The sequence below is a fragment of the Homo sapiens genome, chromosome 16 (assembly GCF_000001405.40).
Source record: "Homo sapiens chromosome 16, GRCh38.p14 Primary Assembly".
NCBI classification, from domain to species: domain Eukaryota; kingdom Metazoa; phylum Chordata; class Mammalia; order Primates; family Hominidae; genus Homo; species Homo sapiens.
In genome coordinates this window covers 21,367,793-21,385,409 of record NC_000016.10, presented here as the reverse complement: position 1 = coordinate 21,385,409, position 17,617 = coordinate 21,367,793, and the positions used below count along the sequence as shown (strand labels likewise).

Sequence of the window (17,617 nt, the reverse complement as noted above, 5' to 3'; positions counted from 1 at the left end):
TAAAATCCTCAGTGAAAATCTGTGTACAGAAGATTGAGCAGAATGGATGCAGGCCTCTCCCACTGATTTAAATAAACACACCACAGAGCACACCTTGAAACTGTTCCTTCCAAGCAGTCACTTTGATGTGAAGGATGCTACCATTACCAAAATGATCTTCAATGCTTCACTTTGGAAAATATTCTCATAGCTGGTAGATGAGACCAGGAGAACCAGCTGGGGGGTGTAGTCAAGTGTTGAGCAGCCTCAAATTCCTGCCATTCCTGTGCCATGCCCCTTTGCAATGGGTCTTTGTGGCTCCTCCCAGCCAGAGGTGATGTCTATTTCTGCACCCTCTTGAATCTGGCTGGCGTAGTGCTCTGCCTTTTTTTTTTTTTTTTTAAGAGTTGGGGCATCTCGCTCTATTGCCCAGGCTGGAGTATATTGGTGCAATCATAGCTCACTGTAACCTCAAATTCCTGGGATCAAACAATCCTCTGCCCTCAGCCTCCCGAGTAGCTGGGACTACAGGTGCATGCCACAACACCCAGCTAATTTTATTATTATTTGTAGAGATGAGGTCTTGCTGTGCTTCCCAAGCTAGTCTCAAAACTCCTGGCCTCAAGCAATACTCCCACCTCAGCCTCCTAAATTGCTGGGATTATAGGCATGAGCCACCATGCCCTGCTTTTACCAAAAGAATGTGGCAGAAAGGGCCGGGTGCGGTGGCTCATGCCTATAATCCCAGCACTTTGGGAGGTCAAGGCGGGTGGATCACCTGAGGTCAGGAGTTCAAGACCAGCCTGGCAAACACGGTGAAACCCCGTCTCTATTAAAAATACAAAAAAAAAAAAAAATTAGTTGGGCGTGGTGGCAGGTGCCTGTAATCCCAGCTACTTGGGAGGCTGAGGCAGGAGAATTTCTTGAACATGGGAGGCAGAGGTTGCAGTGAGCTGAGACTGCGCCATTGCACTCCAGTCTGGGTGACAGAGCAAGACTCTGTCTCAAAAAAAAAAAAAAAAAAAAAAAGTGGCAGAAATAACACTGTGTGAGTTCTAGTAGCTAGGCGTTAAAAGGTCTCAGCTTTGCCTTTGCTCTCCTGGACAGTGGCCCTGACCCCATACATAAAGAAGCCAGTTCAGCCGACTGGAGGATGAGAGTCCATGAGTAGAATCTGAGCAGCCCCAGCACTGATTCCAGACATGTGGATGGGGCCATCTTAGATCTTCCAATCTAACCACGAGCTCCCATGAGTGAGCCGAAGGAGCCCAGCAGCAGAGCCACCATGCCAACCTACACAAAAAAGTAACGAACTGCGGTGGTTTTAAGCCACTACATTTTTAAATCACTTGTTATATAGCAAATGCTAACTGAAAAAGAAATCAAGCTTGCCTTAGTGACCAGCTCTCACAGAAGACACTTTGTGCCCCTATTTTAATCATCACACTTGGATGTAAGACACTTTGAGCCAATTCCAAAAACCCAATCTGTCTAAACCAATGTGTGATGTGGTGAGGCCTCACTGGTATAGCACAACTCTGAGATCACCTCAAAAGCAGTTCCAAAAATGGGTGGGACTGCTACTCCTGTGGGTGTAGAAATTTCAGTGTCTGTTACACAAAGCTGTCAACAGCCCTATCTCCTACAAGGTTCATGCAGGGTCACCATCAATAATTCCAAAGGGATGGCCACAGTTACTGCCTTGTTTAAGAGATTTGAGAATACTAAGTACTTAAGCCCAAAATTTCCAATTTCAACCAGATGCAGTGGCTCACACCTGTAATCCCAGCACTTTGGGAGGCCAAGGCAGGAGGATCACTTGAGGCCAGGAGTTCAAGACCAGCCTGGGCAACATGGCAAGACCCTGTCTCTACATATATACACATACATACTACAACAAAATTTCCAATTTTGCTGTAGTAACATCTTAATGTCCCAAAGGAATCAAAGGGTATTGAAAACTTCTCACCAAATTAATCTTAACTGAATCAACTTTCTTTTTTTATATTTAATTTTTTAATTAAAATTTTTTAAAAACAGGCTGGACACAGTGGCTCACGCCTGTAATCCTAGCACTTTAAGAGGCCAGGGCAGGCAGATCACCTGAGGTCAGGAGTTCAAGACCAGCCTGGCCAACATGGGGAAACCCTGTCTCTGCTAAAAATACAAAAAGAAACCAGGCATGTTGGCACATGCCTATAGTCCCATCTACTCGGGAGGTTGAGGCAGGAGAATTGCTTGAACCCAGGAGGTGGAGGTTGCAGTGAGCTGAGATCATGCCACTGCACTCCAACCCGGGCAATAGAGCGAGACTCTGTCTCAAAAAAAAAAAAAAAAAAAGTTAAAAAATTGAGACAGGGTCTCACTACATTGCCCAGGCTGGTCTAGAACCCTTGAACTCAAGTGATCCTCCTGCCTCGGCCTCCCAAAGTGCTAGGATTACAGGCATGAGACACCATGCCCAGCCTGAATCAACTCTCTTTTGCCTCCCCAGAGCCTAGAGTCAAACCTGACAACTCCTCTCTTTCCTGAGGCCTTAAATGCCATCCCCAATCAGAGGCAAGCCCAATGGCAGATGTTCCCCATAGCAGTCTATGCTTGGCTTTCATCCCTTTTATCCTAAGGATCCTAAATTATATATTTTGTCATGAACTACCCACCCACACCCATCCCAAAGGAGACTGCAGGCTACCTGCTGGCAATCTGTCTTTCCTATTCGGCTCACCGCCTAACACACAGAATACGATGAAGGAACAAATAAAGGAATGAATGAATGAGGATCAACGTCATCTGGCTCCCGGTGTCTCTCACACCCTCACTTTCCATTCGCTCTGGTTGAGCTGTTCATTTTTCCACCCAGCAATTCTCACATCTAGGTAAGGCCATCAGAGCCCTTTCAGAGTGAATGAGGATGAGAAACAGAAACACAAATGGAAAACGCAAGTGCACTGGACTCCATTCCCCTTGGAATGACTTTCAGATGATGAGGTATGTCCACCCCATCAGCCACATTCTGATTCCCTCTGCTCCGCCTCGAGCACCAGTTCCCACTCACCAGCACTGACATTCCTGGACACGACGGGCAAGGGGTCGGTCTCCTGTTCAGGTTTGATGAGGATGGAGATGGCAGAGGAGGCTGTGATCTCCCTGAACACGCTGCTCACTCCTTGCGTGGACTCCTTCAGCAAGGTCACATTCTGCGTTGACTCCTTTAAGAGGTCTGAAACGGTGGGAGCAAACTTACTCTGCCCGTTCAAATCCTTGTTGTCAATGTTAATCGCAAAGAGTATGGAGTTCGGACCTGTCCAAAAAAAGGGAAAAGTCTGGAGTGCTTGCTGATGGGCAGTCATACCACCAATAAGAGAAGACAGCTGCAGACAACAGATTACAGAAGAGGAGACACGTTGATCTTAAATAGGTATAAAAATACCTGCCACACAGAGGTTGCAGGGAGCCGAGATCGTGCCACTGCACTCCAGCCTGGGTGACAGAGCAAGACTCGGCTTCAAAAAAAAAAAAAAAAACAACCTCCCATGAAACTGGGGTCAGCAGACATCCGTTATCATGGGAGTTGAGTCATGCCACATTCTCTCCCTAACAGCCAGGAAGATGAATATGAATAAGAATTCAACTGGGAGGAGGTAAAGGCACAAGTCCCGGGATCAGGCTGCCTGGGGGTAAATCCCAGCACTGCCACCTACTAGCTACAAGACCTTGATCCAGGCTGGGCATGGTGGCTCACACCTGTAATCCCAGCACTTTGGGAGGCTGAGACAGGCGGATCACCTGAGGTCGGGAGTTCGAGACCAGCCTGACCAACATGGAGAAACCCCATCTCTACTAAAACTACAAAATTAGCCAGGCGTGGTGGTGCATGCCTATAATCCCAGCTACTCAGGAGACTGCAGCAGGAGAATCGCTTGAACCCAGGAGGCAGAGGTTGTGGTGAGCCAAGATCATGCCATTGCACTCCAGCCTGGGCAACAAGAGTGAAACTCCGTCTCAAAAAAAAAAAAAAGACCTTGGTCCAGCAACTTATCATCTCCCTGTACTCCAGTCGCCTTATCTGTAAGATGGGGACAATATTATCTTCCTCACAGGATTGTAAGTATTAAAGGCAATCTCTCACAAAACACTCAGCTCCATAAACCATCAAATGTGCACTGGTAACATCATCATCATTAATGTGGACAGAAACTTACACTGGGCATCTTATGATCTACAAAGGAAATCATGGTCAAATTCTTTTTCTCATCAATGGACAGGACTAACATAAGCCCAGATATATGAGTTTAGTATAAATTTTCAAGGAAAAACAAAAAGGAGGCAACAAAGAACTTGGAAAGAGGAAGCAAGTTGCCCACTTCAGTCCAGCTGATTCCACCTTCACCCTTTGAGTCAAAGGGTGAACAATGTAACAGTCCACCGACTAACATCAACCCAGGGTCTCTCCATGTTGATTCGTCGTGTGTGCGACTCCTGATCTCACATGATTCTCTCACAGCCCCATGAAGATGACTGCTGAGACAGCATGATTCCCACCTCACAGAGAGGAAAGAAAAGGCAGCAAAGCTTACGGCATCTGCCCCAGGTCACCAGGTAGCAAGGAGTAAAGCCAGGATTCAAAGATAGGTCTCCCACCTCCAATTCCCCGCAATGCATATTACATCTCCAAAGCCCAACTAAAAACCTTCAAATCTTCGCTTTCTCTGCCAGGGTCTCACATTCTAGATAAATGGACCCAACACTGTGGTTGGGCATGGTGGCTCACACCTGCAGTCCCAACGCTTTGGAAGGCCAAGGCGGGTGGATCACTTGAGCCCAAGAGTTCGAGACCAGCTTGACCAGCATAGTGAAACTCTATCTCTATTAAAATACAAAAATTAGCTGGGCGTGGTGGCAGGCGCCTGTAATCCCAGCTTCTCGGAAGGTTGAGATAGAAAAATGACTTGAACCCAGGAGGCGGAGGTTGCAGTGAGCTGAGGTTGCATCACTGCACTCCAGCCTGGGTGACAGAGTGAGGCTCTCTCTTTAAAGAAATAAAAATTTAAAAACCAACATTCAGTGCTAGTAAAAGAAGGACAGCAGCAAGTGACTCATTGAGTTGTTGAGGGACAGAAGAATCACAACATTCCATGGCGCTGTGGAACTGCCCCAAGGCAGCCCCTCTGCCATGTGTCACAAGGCCTGGCGCCCTGATCTGGGCCAGGCTTACCTGCTGCCATGGTAGGAAGCATACTGGACCTCTCTTCATCCATCACAAAAGACCAGTCTTCATAAAAAGTACTGCAGATTGAAAGAGAAAAGGAAATCGTTCTTAGCAGTGGTTCTCTGTGTCCATTAACCAGGAAATTCCATTAGACGGCTCCCTGGAAGATCTGCACCTGGTCACCCCAGGAGGGATATGATTTGTCTGAGGTCTCTGCTGGTTTAAAGCTTCTGGTTACAAACAGAAGATTGAACACATACATCCTACAACTTCCTCGCTGGTCCCCCCCGACCCTCAGCTTTAGAGTACTAAAATAGACATGATATGTAAATGTATTTATAAAGCAGCAAAGTGGAACGGAGCAGTCAGGTGGGTGACTTCCACTCAAGCAATGTCCCCAAGAGACAGACAGGAAATCCAAGCCTGCCAACAGGGCTCGCCTGATTTGCCTAATACAAGAAGAGACCATTTCAGACAGAAATTACAGAGCCTCTATGGCTTCATCAACCAGGGCATTTAATATAATGCCTGCCTTGGCCAGGCACGGTGGCTCACACCTGTAATCCCAGCACTTTGGGAGGCCAGGGTGGGAGGATCACTAGAGGTCAGGAGTTCAAGACCAGCCTGGCCAACACAGTGAAACCCCATCTCTACTAAAAATATAAAAAATTAGCTGGGCATGGTGGCAGGTGCTTGTAATCCCAGCTACTCGGGAGGCTGAGGCAGGAGAGTCGCTTGAACCCAGAGGCTTGGTAAGCAGAGATTGCGCCACTGTACTCCAGCTTGGGCGAAAGAGCGAGACTCCACCTCAAAATAATAATAATAATAATAATAATAATAATAATAATAATAATAATAATAATATAATGCCTGCCTAGGTTACAGGCCTGAAAGCCCACATTATCCTTGGAAAAGGCTAGGAGGCTAAAAATGCCCCACAAATCTAGATGGCAGTTGGGGTAGGGGTGTCAAGGAAGCCTACAGGGCCTGTCCAAGGTCATCTAGCCAATAAATGGTCCAGCCAGGGCTTAAAAGCAGGTCTCCCGAGTCCAGCTTCCAAGCTCTCTCTGACTTCCTGTTAAGCAATGGAAACCAAAAATCCCCAGTGCCATAACTTCCCCGCCAGGTCATTGAATTCTAAATTAATCAAGGAAAAAGTCAATTTCACTAAAGCAAAGTCAGGGATACATGACCTGTAGTTGGGTGAGAGACTGGAAAAATTAGCCACTGAAGTGACTGAATACAACTGACAGAAAGAAAGAAGAGGAGCATTTCCAATATACTTTCCCAGAAAATGTTAGTAGACGTACAAACCACATGCTCAAGCTGACATTCTGACTGCACCTGATTCCTAAAATCATAATCCTTTAAAAATCTGAGCCCGTTTTCACGCATCTAAATGAATGTGTTTTCCCAACATCCAGCTAGGGAAGTGGCTGGTGATCCAGGTAAAGTCAACTGTGATTCTTACCTGCTGGACTGACTTCTCCTTGTTGGTCACTTCAACTTTGAGACTGAGTATGTAACTCTGAACTACCCGTAAATGATATGCTGGAAGGAGCTTCACAGAAACTCACTTCAAAAAAAAGGAGTAGGTCAGACACAGTAGCTCACACCTGTAATCCCAGCACTTTGGGAGGCCGAGGTGGGAGGATCACGAGGTCAGGAGATTGAGACCATCCTGGCTAACATGGTGAAACCCCGTCTCTACTAAAAATACCAAAAATTAACCAGGCATGGTGGCGGGCACTGGTAGACCCAGCTACTAGGGAGGCTGAGGCAAGGAGTATCGCTTGAACCCAGGAGGCAGAGGTTACAGTGAGCCAAGATCGCACCACTACACTCCAGTCTAGGCAAAAAAGCGAGACTTCTTCTCCAAAAAAAGGAAAGAAAGAAACAGGAGTGTGTTTTCCTTAACTAAAGCTGGTTAATGCCCTAGAGGTCCAGACATTCTCAGCCTCCGAACTCCGACCGTGAGCAGTACACAGGTGTCGTCAGTGTCAGTCCTCCTGGCTCCCAAGCCCTCCCATTTTGGACACATAGAGTCTTGCCATACAATTGAACAAGGAGCCACAGGCAACAGAGAACTTTAAGGGTATTTTTAAGAGCCCCAGTGCACAATCCCAGAAGATCTGAGACATTACCAGTAGAGAGGTGACCACAGCAGTAGATAAAGCAGAAGAGGAGACCTAAACTAGGGAACACAGGGCAAGATATAAAATCAAGGGAACATGCCACACTACTCACAAACTGCCCACTTATTGAATTCAGTGAAATTTCACTGTTGAAGATCTGGGCGGTGCTGATCAGGAAGTTACTTAAGGAACCAGAACAGGATTCATCAGGGTCACTCCGTATCACTCAAGGACACAAAACAACTTGTCTAGTCCACCATTCTCAGAGCAAAAGTAATGGCCACGGCCAGGCACAGTAGCTCACGCCTGTAACCCCAGCACTTTGGGAGGCCTAGGCGGATCACCTGAGGTCTGGAGTTCGAGACCAGCCTGGCCAACATGATTAAACCCCGTACGCACTAAAAATACAAAAAATCAGCTGGGTATGGTGGTACACGCCTGTAATCCCAGCTACTCAGGAGGCTGAGGCAGGAGAATCACTCGAACTGGGGAGATGGAGGTTGCAGTGAGCCCAGATAGCAGCAGTGCACTCCAGCCTGGGCAACAGAGTGAGGCTCCGTCTCAAAAACAAACAAACAAACAAAAATGACTTCCTTCCCCAATGTAAAATTTCCATGTGTTTTTCAGTTTGGGATTGAATGAATGCAAGAATCCCAAATTAAAATTCTGCACCTGTCATGGTAGCTCATACCTGTAATCCCAGCACTTTGGGAGGCTGAGGCGGGAAGATTACTTGAACCTAGGAGTTCGAGGCCAGCCTGGGCAACACACTGAGACCCCATCGCTACAAAACAATTTTTTAAATTAGCCAGGCAGGGTGGCATACACTTAGGGTCCTAGCTGCTCAGGAGGCTGAGGTGGGAGGATTGCTTGAGCCAGGGAGGTCCAGGCTACAGTGACCCGTGTTCATGCCACTGCACTCCAACTTGGGAAACAAAGCAAGACCCTGTCTTTAAAAAAAAAAAAAAAAAAAAAAAAATCCAGAAAGTGAAGAGGAAGCTATGTCCTAGGACAACAGCTCTCTCCACATCCAAGCTGGCTGTATGCAAGTGCCATGCCGAGCCCGTTACAGGCAGTCTCTCAATGATTCTCCCCCAAGTTTCTCCACAGCTCAGCAGAACACTCCGGAGCTGTCAGAGGGAGGCCCACTTGCCCCAGATCGGGGAACTAGGATGAAAATCCAGGTGGTCTGACTACAGACTCCAAGATCTTCACCCCTTGCTCCATCCCATTCCAGGTCCCATCCCGGCCACGTACCTGAGCCTGCAGCGGTCGGCCAGGAGCATGTGCAGGTAGCACTCCAGGGAGTGTTCGTTGAGGGCACAGCGCAGCCAGGCGCGGCCCCAGCCCACGTCTGAGGCGATGTGGCGCAGGGAGTAGAAGCGCTTGCAGCTCGTGCTTGTTGAGGACCTCCTTCACGTAGTACCAGAACACGGGCTCTACGGAGAGAGGGTGCAGGCGCCTGGCACTCGGCCTGGGGCACTCAGCACTGGGAGAGGAACACACAAAGCCTCTAGGCAATGTTGGAGATTGTAACAGAGTATCCCCTTAGCATGGAAAAGGTAGGAGATAACACCAAAGACATGGTATCAACCCAGATACTCATCAATAGTGGACTAGATAAACAAAATGTGGTACATTTACACAAAGGAATACTATGCAGCCATGAAAAAGAACAAAATTGTGTCCTATGCAGCAACATGGATGACTGGAGGCCATTATCCTAAGCGAATCACACAGAAATAGAAAACGAAATAGTGGATAGTCTCACTTATAAATGGAAGCTTAACACTGGGTACACACAGACATAAAGATGGCAAACAACAGACACTGGGGGCTGCTAGAGAGAGTAGAGAGGGAGGAGAGCACGGACGGAAAAACTACCTACCAGGTACTATGTTCACTACCTGGGAGATGGGTTCAATCGTGCCCTGAACCTCGGCATCACACAATGTACCCAGGTAACAAACCTGCACATGTACACCCTGAATCTAAAATAAAAATTGAGGCTGGGAACGGTGGCTCATGCCTGTAATCGCAGTACTTGGGAGGCTGATGTGGTGGATCACTTGAGGCTCGGAGTTCAAGACCAGCCTGGCCAACACAGTAAAACCCCATCTCTACTAAAAATGCAAAAATTAGCTGGGCATGGTGGCGCACACCTGTAATCCCACCTACCGGGCAGGCTGAGGCAGGAGAATCACTTAAAACCAGGAGACGGAGGTTGCAGTGAGCTGAGATTGCACCACTGCACTCTGGCCTGGTGACAGAACAAGACTCAGCCTCAAAAACAATAATGAAATAAGAAAAAAAGGTGGGAGATACAGAAGAGTATATCAAAAATAAAAATGACTCTAAAACCTCTCATCCAGAAAAGACCAATATTGACATTTTCAAGAATTTTCAGTCTTTTTTACTGCACTTTTCTTTTTTATAAAAAAAATCAACATTTGCTGTAGGCTGAATTATAATCCTCAAAGATATCGACGTCATAAGCTCCAGAATTCTCTGAATATTACCTTATATAGTAAAAGAGTCTGTGCAACTGTGTTAGGATCTGGAAACTGGGAGGTTATCTTGCATAATCCCTGTGAGGCTGATGTAATCACAAGATCTTCATAAGAGGCAGGCAGAGAGAAACTTGACACAGAAGAGGAGGACATGATGTGGCCAGAGAAGCAAAGACTAGAATGGGGCAGCCATAGCCAAGGAAGGTGGGCAGCGAGCAGACTCTGGAAGGGCCAGAAACGGATTCGGCCCTGAAGCCTCTGGAAGGAAGCAGCCCTGCTGTCACCTTGACTTTAGCCCAGTGAAATGGATTGGGGACTTCTGGCCTCCAGAACTGTGGGAGAATAAATTATAGTGTTTAAAAGCCACCAACTGTGTATTACTTTGTTACAGCAGCCAGAAGAAAAGAACACATCAGGCCAGGCACAGTGGCTCATGTCTGTAATCCCAGCACTCCAGGAGGCCGATGCGAGCGGATCATCTGAGGTCAGGGGCTCGAGACCAGCCTGGCCAACATGGTGAAACCCCATCTCTACTAAAAATACAATAATGAGCCAGGCATGGTGGCAGGTGCCTGTAATCCCAGCTACACAGGAGGCTGAGGCAGGAGAATCACTTGAACCCAGGAGGCAGAGGTTGCAGTGAGCCGAGATCGCACCACTGTACTCCAGCCTGGTCGACAGAGCAAGACTCTGTCTCAAAAAAAAAAAACAGGCTGGCGCGGTAGCTCACGCCTGTAATCCCAGCACTTCGGGAGGCCAAGGCAGGCAGATCACGAGGTCAAGAGATCGAGACCATCCTGGACAAAATGGTGAAACCATGTCTCCACTAAAAATACAAAAATTAGCTGGGCATGGTGGCACACGCCTGTAGTCCCAGCTACTTGGGAGGCTGAGGCAGGAGAATCACTTGAACCCAGGAGGCGGAGGTTGCAGAGAGCCAAGATCATGCCCCTATACTCCACTCTGTCTCAAAAAATAAATAAATAAAACCACATCATATTGTATGAGTGTATACGCATACATATTTGTATGTGTAATTTTGTATCCTGATTCATTTATTTTCTTGTCTAGAGCATGAACATTTTCCTATTACAATTAAAAGTCTTTCAAAGATGATTTTTGATGGCTTTCCAGTAAAACAACTATTTCCATACTGCTAAGGGCATGGCACATGGCCAACTTTCCCTCTGTACAGTAAAGAACACCCCTATACATAAATAATTGTCCTCATTCCTAGTTCCTTAGGAAAGATTTCCACATGTCAAATTACTCAGTCTGAGGATAGGAACAGATTTAAGGCGTTATGGGAAACCTAAGAAAGTTTGTTTTTATCCATAAGACGGTCATTCCTACAACTACTTGTATCTCCTCACATCCCACCACTTTTTATCCACATGTACACAGATTTTTAAAATTTTTTATATACATTTTAAGTTAATTATTATTTATTTATTTTTGAGACAGGGCCTCTCCCTCTGTCACCCAGGCTGGAGCTCACTGCAGCCTCAACGTCCTGGGCTCAAGTGATCCTCCTGTCTCGGCCTCCCATGTAGCTGAGACACAGGCACGCACCCCCATGCCCAGCTAATTTTTTAATTTTTATTTATTTGTAGAGATGAGATTCTGCTATGTTGTGCAGGCTGGTACCAAACTCCTGGCTTCAAGCGATCCTCTTGCCTGAGATTCCCAAAATGCTAGGATTACAGTCAGGAGCCACCTTGCCCAACCCCAGATATTTTCATAGTTGTAATGCTAGTGTATACATAATTTTGTGATCAATTTTCTTCACTTAACATTGGCTCTTTAACATTTTTTCATGCTGGCAATAATAATAACAGCAGCAACAGCAACTACTATTTACTGAGCATTAACTATGCACCAGCCATTGCAGTAAACACTTTACATCTGACATCATCACAACCAAGGCCATCTCCATGTGAAAGACAAGGTCTGAAGCCAGGACAAGTGAAGTGACTCGCCCAGCAACACAGTTAGTAAACAGTATGGCAGAAAGGGACCCCAGAGCTCACTGCAAACCACTAAATCACACTGCCCTGCAAAATGAGGGGACTTGGCCCTCTTCAAAATGATCACGTTCACAACTGTTTAATATTCCAAGTGGGGGAAGCTGAGTCTTTGCAGTCGGACCTGGCTTCCAATCTAGGAGCTAAACAGGCTCACAGTCCCCTCTGAAATGTGACAAAGGCTTTGAACCTGCCTTCCAGAAGGAGGCAAGTACACCCATCTCCAGAAACTGCATGGCAGGCTAGTTAAGTTCACTCTAATGTTTCAATTCAACTTCACTAGGATCCACTGCATTCTTCCTGGGAGCTGTGAACCAAGCTAGGCTATGTGTCACCAGCTAGAGACAACAAGAACTCGTCCCTAAGGGGCTTCCAGTCTAGCAGGCAGGACAACAGAGAAAAAGTCCATTCAACCAAATGACCTTGAGCAAGTCACTCAACCATGCTAAGCCTGAAAATCCTCTCCCATAAAATCAACACAAAAGTGCAGAATCGCCCAGGGTTACTGGGGTAACTAGAAAGGGAAGGAAAGCACCGAGCACAGTGCCCAGTCCATGATGACCAATCAGCATTTGCTTAATAATTAATTCTCTTCATAGCAGAGGGCATTCGCGTGGGTTCCTTTTTGTGTTAGCAGCATCTAAATGTATACATCCGTATGAGCGTGCATAAGTATTTGTGGATCAAGACAATCACTGGGATCATTTAGGATAAACTTCCCAGGAATAACAAAAACCAGCAAGAGGGCAGGTCCCTCAAGACTGTCTTCTGTCTCAATCCCTAAATGTCAAACTAATCCACTTCCCAAGCTCATCCGATCAGTCTAATCCACACAACTGTACAAAACAGCCTTCCTTCCACTCTCCGCCTCACTCAGAAACCAGGACGGGGAATCTGGCGACAACAACGCCCTGGGCCAGCCGGCCAACAACGTATTTCAAAATACCCCAGACCATTGTCGGTACGTCCATCACATTTCCAGTCAAGTGACTCTCACTTGCAGCCTGTCTTGAAAAATGCAGTCACCTCCCTCCGACCTTGAATCTACATGAACGCTTTAAAGTGTGTTTTCACCTTTCAATTCTGCAAAATTGCTTACTGCTACAGAATCCTTTTAAAGCTTGTCAGGGTGATGCTGCTGATGATAAGAATTATCCCAGCAGGGTTCCGCTTCCACTGCCAGAGTTAATGTGGTCTATTTAAAGGGCAGCTCACCTGCCAATTAGCGCCTGCGGTGTCCGTAATTTAATTTAGGGATATACACTGATCTGCTTTGAAACATGGGGTTAAGTCAAAAAGCGGGCAAGGGCTTCTGGTTCTCCAAACACCTGAAAGCCGAATGCCAACAAGAACAAGTGCCAGGAAGGGGTGTTGAGAAGAGCTGCCCCGGGACACCTATTAACAGAGGATGACTAACAGCACCAGGCTTTTGGGAAAGTTTCTATCAAGACTTAACTATCACCGATGCCCAAGAATTCATTCCTTGGGGACCACAAGGAAGACAAAAACCTTGTCCCAAATTCTAGTTCAGGCACTGTGTGACCTTGGGAAACTTATTTTGTCCTCTACTTTCTTCATCTGTACAGTGGGGAGAACAGTACCTATGTGTATGGATTGCTATGAGGGAAAAATGAGAAAAAGGAATACATGTAAAGTGTATCCAATAAATGCAGTGAATAAATGTTAGCCATAGTTATTAACATACCTGGCATATAATTGGTGCTCAACGAAAACCAACTATTAATATCACTACTACACGTGCACCAAACAGCATTCCTTTTCCTTGTTTGGGGTTTTGTTTTGTTTTGTTTTGTTTTTGAGGGGTGGGGTGCGGACAAGGTCTCACTCTGTCGCCCAGGCTAGAGCACAGTGGCACGATCATAGTTCACTGCAGTCTTGAACTCCTGGGCTCAAGCGATCTTCCCATCTCAGGCTCATGAGTAGCTGGGACTACAGGTGTACACCACCATACACGGCTAATTTATTTTTTTCTGTAGAGACAAGGGTCTTACTATGTTACTCAAGCTGGTCTTGAACTCCTAGAATCAAATGATCATCCAGCATCGGCCTCCCAAAGCACTGGGATTATAGGCGTAAGCCACCGAGCCTGGTCCCTTTCCCTTTCTTCTAGTAAGACCACCCCTCTTTCCTATGGGAAACACATTCCACTGGGATCCTTCAGCACTATCCTAACCTCCCCCTACTGCAGGGGTGGACAGCTAACCCAGGGCAGGCAATTAACTGGCCGGAACCATGGCATATGCAACTTTCATTTTTTTTTAATATTACATAAAAATAGTATTTATCTTGATTGATAAGTTTTTTGGTACCGCCTTCAATTTTGTGGCCAAAGTGAGTGTGTCACTAACCTCACCCCAGTCTCAGCCCTGGACCACAGGGTCCCTTCGCACAAGTTCTACCAGAGCCACCAGAAAAGAGGCCTTGTCTCCTCCAGGAGCTGAGGTCAGCAAACAATGGCCTGGGGGTCAAATTTGGCCTCCAAACTGTTTTTGTAAGCACAGTGGTCTTGGAACGCAGCCACACCCATTTGCTCCCATATGGTCTGTGGCTGAGTTTCTGCTCCAGTGGCAGAGCTGAGTCACTGCGATGGAGATTGCATGGCTCACAAACCCTATAATATGACCCATAAGGAGGGAGTGTGCCGACCCCGTCCTAGAAGTAGGATCTCTCATCATCCTGGAAACCTGGAGCTACTTGGGGCCATTTTCCACCCCATCATGTAGAGACCCCCCACCTGGAAAGACACCCAACCACAGAGAAGCGGTGCTGAGGGATGACAGATGGAGACAGATTTGGGAGAAGGGCAGGCCCCCTGAATCCAGCTCAACTCCAAGATGATTTCTTAGATACTTGAGTCAATAAATAAATGTCCTTCATCTTTTTTTTTCTTAAATCAATCTAAAGAATTTTCTATCATTTGCAACCACAGGAAATAATGCAGTGAGACAGGGCATGTTCTTCAGTCATCTGACAATCATCTATAGAAGACCAAGAACACACCAAGTGCTGAGCAACACCTGTGCTCCACAGCCATGGGGGGTGAGGGGTGTCTCATCAATGTGACAACACTGCCCCAAAACAAAGCATTGCTCAACAACAACAAAAAAAACAGAAAACCCGCCGGGCACGGTGGCTCACGCCTGTAATCCCAGCACTTTGGGAAGCTGAGGCAGGTGGATCACGAGGTCAGGAAATCGAGACCATCCTGGCTAACACGGTGAAACGCCATCTCTACTAAAAATACAAAAAATTAGCCAGGTGTGGTGGTGGGCGCCTGTACTCCCAGCTACTTGGGAGGCAGAGGCAGGAGAATGGTGTGAATCCGGGAGGCGGAGCTGGCAGTGAGCCGAGATGGTGCCACTGCACTCCAGCCTGGGCAATGGAGCAAGACTCTGTCTCAAAAAAAAAAAAAAAAGAAAAAAACAGAAAACCCAAGACCAGCCTGGGCAACATAGTAAGAACCCATCTCTAAAAAAAGGAAACAGAAAACCCAACTACAAGGAGCCGAGTGTGGCAGCACACACCTGTAGTCCCAGCTACTTGGGAGGCAGAGGCAGGAGGATGGCTGGACCCCAGGAGTTTGAGGCTGTAATGAGCTATGATTGCACTACTGCACTCCAGCCTAGTTAACAGAGCAAGGCCCTGTCTCTAAAAACAAAACAAAACAAAAAAACCCACACACAAAGAAAATCCAACCCCATGGAGCTGGGCTAGTCTGGAAATAGGCCAGTGATACAAAGGCTATGTCAGGCCAAAACCTCCAACCTTTTGACCTCGCTGTCACAGAGGACTGTCCTAACTTTGGGCATCTCATTTACAATTGAGCAGGAAGAAAGGGAATGGGATGAAGCCAGCTTTATCGCCCCTTTTATCAGGAAAGAACAAGTAATCCCAGAAAATCACAAGGGAGCAAAGAAAGCAAAGAACAAAACTCAAAACTGGCTTAATCCCTCACCGAGATAAAGGAGTACATACCACAGCCTCAAGCAAAATCTGGGTTCTATCAAAGCCAAAGAAGACAGAGGGATGAATCTGAGGGCACACTCTAACAGAATCAGCCACACATGGTATCAGCCATGCCAGGAACAAAGGTAAACCAAGTTCACTCATGTGCCAGCCTGAGAACTCAGTGAATACAAGTGCTCCTAAATCTGTCACATCCCAAACTGAGCCAGCCTGACTGCAAGGCACAAATGGATTGGCAGAGCAGAGTGCCAACAAGGGGCTGAGCTCTGTCACTCTACCATCTTCCAACTAGCCACAAGACTGCCTTCCAGAACCAGGGCTCAGCATAACACACCCGCATCCTACAAGAGTTTACAGCATACCACCTCCTTTATTAAAGAGTAGGAAATAAATTAACCAGGCACAGTGGCATGCATGTGCAGTCCCAGCTACTTGAGAGGCTGAAGTGGGAGGATCGCTTGAGCCAGGAAGTTCAAGGCTGCAGAGAGCCATGATTGCACCACTGCACTCTAGCCTGGCAACAGAGCAAGACCCTGTCTCTTATTTAAAAAAAAAAAAAAAAAAAAAAAAAAAGGAAAATTTCTAAGAAGGACTTCTAAAACTTGTATCTCACTTCCTTTTAGGGGCATACGCCATCATGAGCTGAAGAGTCATTTACATTCTGAAAGGAGCAAAGCAAAGGACCCACGGAACTCAGGCTGGATAACTGTGATCTAAAAACTGACAACTCAGAGGCCAAACTGAGTCTTTTTTACTTTTTTTTTTTTTGAGGTGGAGTCTTGCTCTGTCGCCCAGGCTGGAGTGCCAGGGCATGGTCTCAGCTCACTGCAACCTCCGCCTCCTGGGTTCAAGCAATTCTCCTGCCTCAGCCTCCCAAGTAGCTGGAATTACAGGTGCCTACCACCATGCCCAGCTAATTTTTGTATTTTTAATGGAGACAGGGTTTCACCATGTTGGCCAGGCTGGTCTCGAACTCCAGACCTCAAGTGATCCACCCACCTCGGCCTCCCAAAGTGCTGGGATTACAGGCCTGAGTCTTAATTTATGAGACATCAGGATTAAACACCTTTGAAACAGGCAGAGGTCACATTCGGCCAATAGGTATCAGTCCAGCTCCACTAGATCTTAACATGCTGGGACACATTCATACCCCTTAGTAAATAGCCACCGGCCCAGGTCCCTGCCACCCTGGGTGTCAAGAACCCACCCCCGAGGGACCCTGTGGACATCCCCATGATCCAGTGACCCAGGAGTTAACACACAGCCCAAGGGGTACAGCACCCTGGCTTCTGACTTCCTCCCTAAGGCCAGCTTCTTTCTGCCAGTTGTCAACCACTTTTTTCACCTTGAACGGAGCTCTGCATTTTCTCTGCACCTTCAGCAGACATCCTTCCAAGGCTTCCCTTACCAAAAGCAGCTGATTTGCACGTGCAGGAATACAAAAGAAAATCACCAACAGGGAACCAAAAGCAGGGATGGGCGAGTGAGGAACTGGACTTCCCCTCACCATCAAAAGGATGGACCCAGGGCTCCCCTGGCACATGCAGCTTCCTCCAAAATTAATTTTCTACAGAAATGAAATTGTTGCCCAAGGTGACCCAATGAAGCAAAATACAAATTCTGCTTTGAGTGCAATCAACCATTTTCAAAAATCCCCACTGAAGATCAAGGAAGTCGGTCTCTCTCGTTTTACAGTTGTGGGGATATTATCACCGCTTCCCACTGACTAAAGATGCATACAGACCACTGAGAGTAGGGGTTTGGCTTCCCGGG

At 46.9% G+C, this 17,617-nt stretch overlaps 1 pseudogene across 1 annotated transcript in view, besides 1 other annotated feature; it reads right to left on the bottom strand.

Annotated features, from left to right (window-relative positions):
* SNX29P1 (sorting nexin 29 pseudogene 1) overlaps nt 1-17,617 on the bottom strand; it is a 36,571-nt pseudogene that overhangs the window by 524 nt on the left and 18,430 nt on the right. Inside the window, exons 3-5 of the transcript NR_045011.1 lie at nt 8,581-8,762; nt 5,195-5,265; nt 3,035-3,280 (exon numbers count right to left, since the gene is read on the bottom strand). The product of NR_045011.1 is annotated as a sorting nexin 29 pseudogene 1 (transcript). The remainder of the gene's footprint in view (nt 1-3,034; nt 3,281-5,194; nt 5,266-8,580; nt 8,763-17,617) is intronic.
* Nucleotides 4,867-5,368: an enhancer, noted in NCBI's record as "H3K27ac hESC enhancer chr16:21391363-21391864 (GRCh37/hg19 assembly coordinates)". NCBI's record gives its function as "activates a minimal SCP1, AML or CMV promoter by ChIP-STARR-seq in naive H9 embryonic stem cells {active_cell/tissue: H9 hESC(naive)}" and the evidence as "EXISTENCE:reporter gene assay evidence [ECO:0000049][PMID:30033119]".